Source organism: Homo sapiens, chromosome 3, assembly GCF_000001405.40.
Source record: "Homo sapiens chromosome 3, GRCh38.p14 Primary Assembly".
Classification (NCBI taxonomy): domain Eukaryota; kingdom Metazoa; phylum Chordata; class Mammalia; order Primates; family Hominidae; genus Homo; species Homo sapiens.
The window spans coordinates 142,283,043-142,287,468 of record NC_000003.12 but is presented as its reverse complement, the minus strand read 5'-3'; the positions used below and the strand labels follow the sequence as shown (position 1 = coordinate 142,287,468).

The window sequence follows — 4,426 nt, the reverse complement described above, 5'->3', positions numbered from 1 at the left end:
ATTATGATAGGACCATGTTATTCATAGAATAAATTTTAGTCTTATACTTGACCTGATTATTTGCATAAAGTCCAGCAAGAATAACTATTTCTACATGGGCCTTTTGGGTTGAGTTTGATGGAACTCTATTCCCCAGGGAAACTGAAATAAGAATTTTTAAAGCCCAGCCCAGCCATGGGATTGTATTCTCAAATGCCTGTGAATTGGGTGATCCTCTCAAGATAAACTTGGAGCTCCTGGACCTGTTAGAAAGTGACATTCTTTACTGACAACAGGTCAGGAACGCTGTATGGGGACTGTGTAGACAAGGAATGAGGCCAGTCTTCCCCAAGGGGCTTTTATTTGCTCTGCATGTCAAGCTCGATTCCTTAAAGGGAAACACATGCTTCCAGTCAAAGCACTGGTAAAATAAGCACTTTTTTTTCCAATGGTGTCCTGTTGCAAAAGAAAAATGGATTCTTATTGCACTGATGCCAACAACCATGTTGCCATAAGTTAATAATACTCACAGATAGTTTCCAAATTCCAGAGGAACCAGACAGAGAGAAATAAACATGCTCCAAATTTTATGAACAGGAGTATACCTTACTCATGAGGTATTATTATTATTACAGGCTGTAACTAGTTCAAAATAAGTTTCCTTGACTCTGAAAAACAAAACAAGGATCAGCAATATTCCAAGCAAAAGTTGAAAAGGTTGCTTTAGCTTTCTGAGTTCACTTGGTTAACTCTTGGTTTTGTTGATATTTGTGAACATTTTAGCTTTTCATGAGTTCTGTACTTTTTTTTATATTCCAATGTTATAATCTTCAAAGCTATTAGAAACCTGCATTTGAGAGCACCTGTTAACATCTTATAGCTTGACTATAAATCATCTTTTCAGAAGGAACAAAGCAAGACAATTGTCTGCAAGTGAAAAAATTTCCAGGGTACAGTTAAAAATGCAACTGATAAAGAAGTTTGGTTATCTCTATGGTTTACAATGACTTAACATAACAACCTTAATTATGATGATAGCATATATTCAGACATTAGAATTTTAGAAATCCCCAATTTTGGAACATATATTAGTATTATTCACCAAAATATAACTTAAAGATTGAACATCATTTTGGCAATCCCATCTAACTAAACATATCAAATAATTCTGTTCACCACCTCTCTGGATGCTTCAGGGGCCCTCTGAACCATCCAGAAAGCTAGACATCAGGAAAGGCAATTTTGAAATTTGAAGTTTGATTTTGGGGAGGCTGTTAAATATTAGAGGTTTAAAACACTTGATTTTATGAAGTAGAATTCCAGATTACAATAAATTATTTATTTTTCCAAAATGATGACTCAAAAGGCAAAAACCTTTTATTAGCCTTTACTATTACATGAAAATCCTATTCAAAGCAAAATTTTACCCTTGCATTAGTTTATTGTTAACCCCAATTTTTTGATGAAACCTCATAGACAATTCCATTTCATCTTAACCAATTTGACCATGAGGTGAAATCTTTACAAACCTTTTATAACCCTTTTGCTAAAGGGCAGATTAGCGTTTTAAGACAACCTTTATTTCAATGCTTAATTTATGAAATGACCATATAATTCCCTTTTGAATTTAGTTAATGTTTACACATGGAATTTTTGCAAGATTAATTTTTACAACCTTTCCATAACTTGCTTAAACCTTCAGCTTTCTTATCTAACTTAAGACAATCTTTTATGACTAGGAAAAATGTACATTTCCATGCCTTCTCATAATCTTTTACTAGAAAATACATTCTACTGTTTTTACACATCTTGCATATAAATTTATTTTTAGTAGTTTAAATTACATGTTATTGAAGTGGCTATGTTGTCTGGGGTAAATACCCAGTGTTCATCATCTCATGCTAGGAAAATTTAAGACACAGACACACATGAGGAGTTTAGGAGCAGAGGTTTCATAAGCAGAAGAAAGAGAAAGGAAAACAACTCTTCTAGTGAGAGAGAGGGGGCTTCTGAGAGCAAAAAAAAAAAACTGGCCAGCAATGAATGTGCTGGATTTTATAGTCAGGCTTGAGAAGGCAGTGTCTGATTTACATAGGGCTCACAGATTGGTTCAATCAGGTGTGACGTTTACATAGCTCTCAGGGAAGGCTCCTCATCCCACCCTAATCTTATTATGCAAATGAACTCTCCCCTGGGCCGGTGCCATCTTGTCTGCTCCTTACTGTACAGTGGCTGACAGATAAGGGAAGATGGAGCCACCATTTTGAACATGTCTAGTCCCAGCTAGTTCTTTCCTACCTGCATTCATTCCTGCAAGCTCCCAGTTGCTTGTCTATGTCTGAGGCCCAACTTTACAGGCTGCTCTTTGTTAGAAAATGATTTGGGCTGCTTTTCATTAAAAGGAAAACCTTACCAAGCACTTCCATACCCTCACTATCTGCCTAAGTAATTTCTTCTTTGTCAGGCCTCTGAGCCCAAGCTAAGCCATCATATCCCCAGTGACCTGCACATATACATCCAGATGGCCTGAAGCAACTGAAGATCCACAGAAGTGAAAATAGCTTAACTGATGACATTCCACCATTGTGATTTGTTTCTGCCCCACACTAACTGATCAATGTTGTTTATAATCTCCCCCACCCTTAAGAATTTTCTTTGTAATTCTCCTCACCCTTGAGAAGTTACTTTGTGAGATCCACCCCCTGTCCCCAAAACATCGCTCTTAACTCCACCGCCTATCCCAAAACCTATAAGAACTAATGATAATCCCACCACCCTTGCTGACTCGTTTTTTGGACTCAGCCCGCCTGCACCCAGGTGAAATAAACAGCCTTGTTGCTCACACAAAGCCTGTTTGGTGGTCTCTTCACACGGACACGTGAAACATTCTTAACTCCTATATCATTATGGTGGTAACTTTGGGTAATTTTTAACTTTACTGTGAAACCTGGTAGGTTGTTTTGATTATGTATTAGGCATAGATAAAGTCTGACTTTTTCCAGCATACTTAGGGGTGTGGTTAATTTCGTATGTCCCCAGGCCTTACCAAGTTGTAAAGCAGGTAGTTTACAACCTTGGAACATTTAGCAAACCTAGTATCTGACTTACATGATTTAGACCACCTATTTACATGTTTATGACCCTTGTATTTTACCAATAATTCTTAAGACTATTTTTATTTCTTAAAGATTAAAGTCATATGAACTAAAAAGCATTACAGCTTTTTATTTTTTCTTTAAAAATACTTGATTTAAGCACTCATTTTTCTTTAAGCCAATCAATTAGAGCTCTTTTTATAGACATTACACACAACACATATATACACAGACAGACAGAAGATTCAGCACTTCTGAGATTTTTCATTTGTAAGTTTATTAATTGGATTACCTGCTTCAGGGTAAAGCCCTTGGAGGAACAGGAAGGAATGCATTTTTAGGGCCTAATAAGCAGGCACAGCTGAAGGCAAAGACAGATCCCCAAAATTAAGGGTGCCATTTTATACTGGATCTTGGATCCCCAGAATGAGGGAGATGCTACAGGAGGAGGCAGTGCAGTGCTTCTACCTTGCATATCATTGCAAGGCAACCCAAAGCCAATTGGCTTGTTTTGTAATTAGCCCATCCTCCATGGAGTCTCATCTCTTAATGGGGAGTGGGGATGTTTCCATATCTTCCAGGTGGACAAGAGCATGCTTCTCTGATTCAAATGTGCAAAGAGTTAAGTATCCCTCCATGAACACTATTAGCCATCCCTTAAAGTATATTTCCTACCTAGTTATTACACACCAAAGCTCTCTCATACTGCAAGGTAACTTTTGATACCCCCAAAACTTAAAACCATCAGATAACACAATGCAAAACAGAACAGAGCCTTTGATTTTGAGAGGGATCCATCCACTTTCAATTCCTGGGGTTACATGAGGAAAATAGGGGGTTTTTCCCCCAAAATGGAATCTATGGTGCCTCCTCTGTTTTTCCCAAGGAGTCCCAGGCTACCAGAAGTTATCTTAGGGCCTCTCATGTGTGCATTAAGAGTGGAAAGACAAAAAAATGGAGAAAAATAATTCAGTCGACTGAGAAGAAAAAACCTTTTTCCAGAAAAATAAGATCCAAGAAGAGAAAAACGTGAATGCCTTTTAAATATACCTATAACTTGGCTATCCATTTTTAATTAAGCTGAGCACTATTTAAGAAAATCCTTTTAAATCTTTTGTTACTCGACTTCAGCCATGCAAAACAATTAAGATTTTCAGCTTTGGAACTTTACAAAAAGTAACCCCACAGGTGAAACCAACAAGCCTTAATTAGGTTATAACTTAACCTCCAGTGTATGAGGTATTTTCAAAGGGGTGGTAAGCAGCTTTTGAAACCATCATTGCAAAACTGTGACTGAGACAGTGAAAGAGATCCAACCCAAGTAACTCCATCTTGCTCCAGCCTGCAAGCTG

The 4,426-nt window shown here is 37.4% G+C and overlaps 1 annotated feature.

Moving 5' to 3' along the window:
• Positions 1,968–2,262: an enhancer, noted in NCBI's record as "tiled region #12219; K562 Activating DNase matched - State 5:Enh, and HepG2 Activating non-DNase unmatched - State 24:Quies". NCBI's record gives its function as "activates a minimal TATA promoter and a strong SV40 promoter by Sharpr-MPRA in K562 cells, with weaker activity in HepG2 cells {active_cell/tissue: K562 | HepG2}" and the evidence as "EXISTENCE:reporter gene assay evidence [ECO:0000049][PMID:27701403]".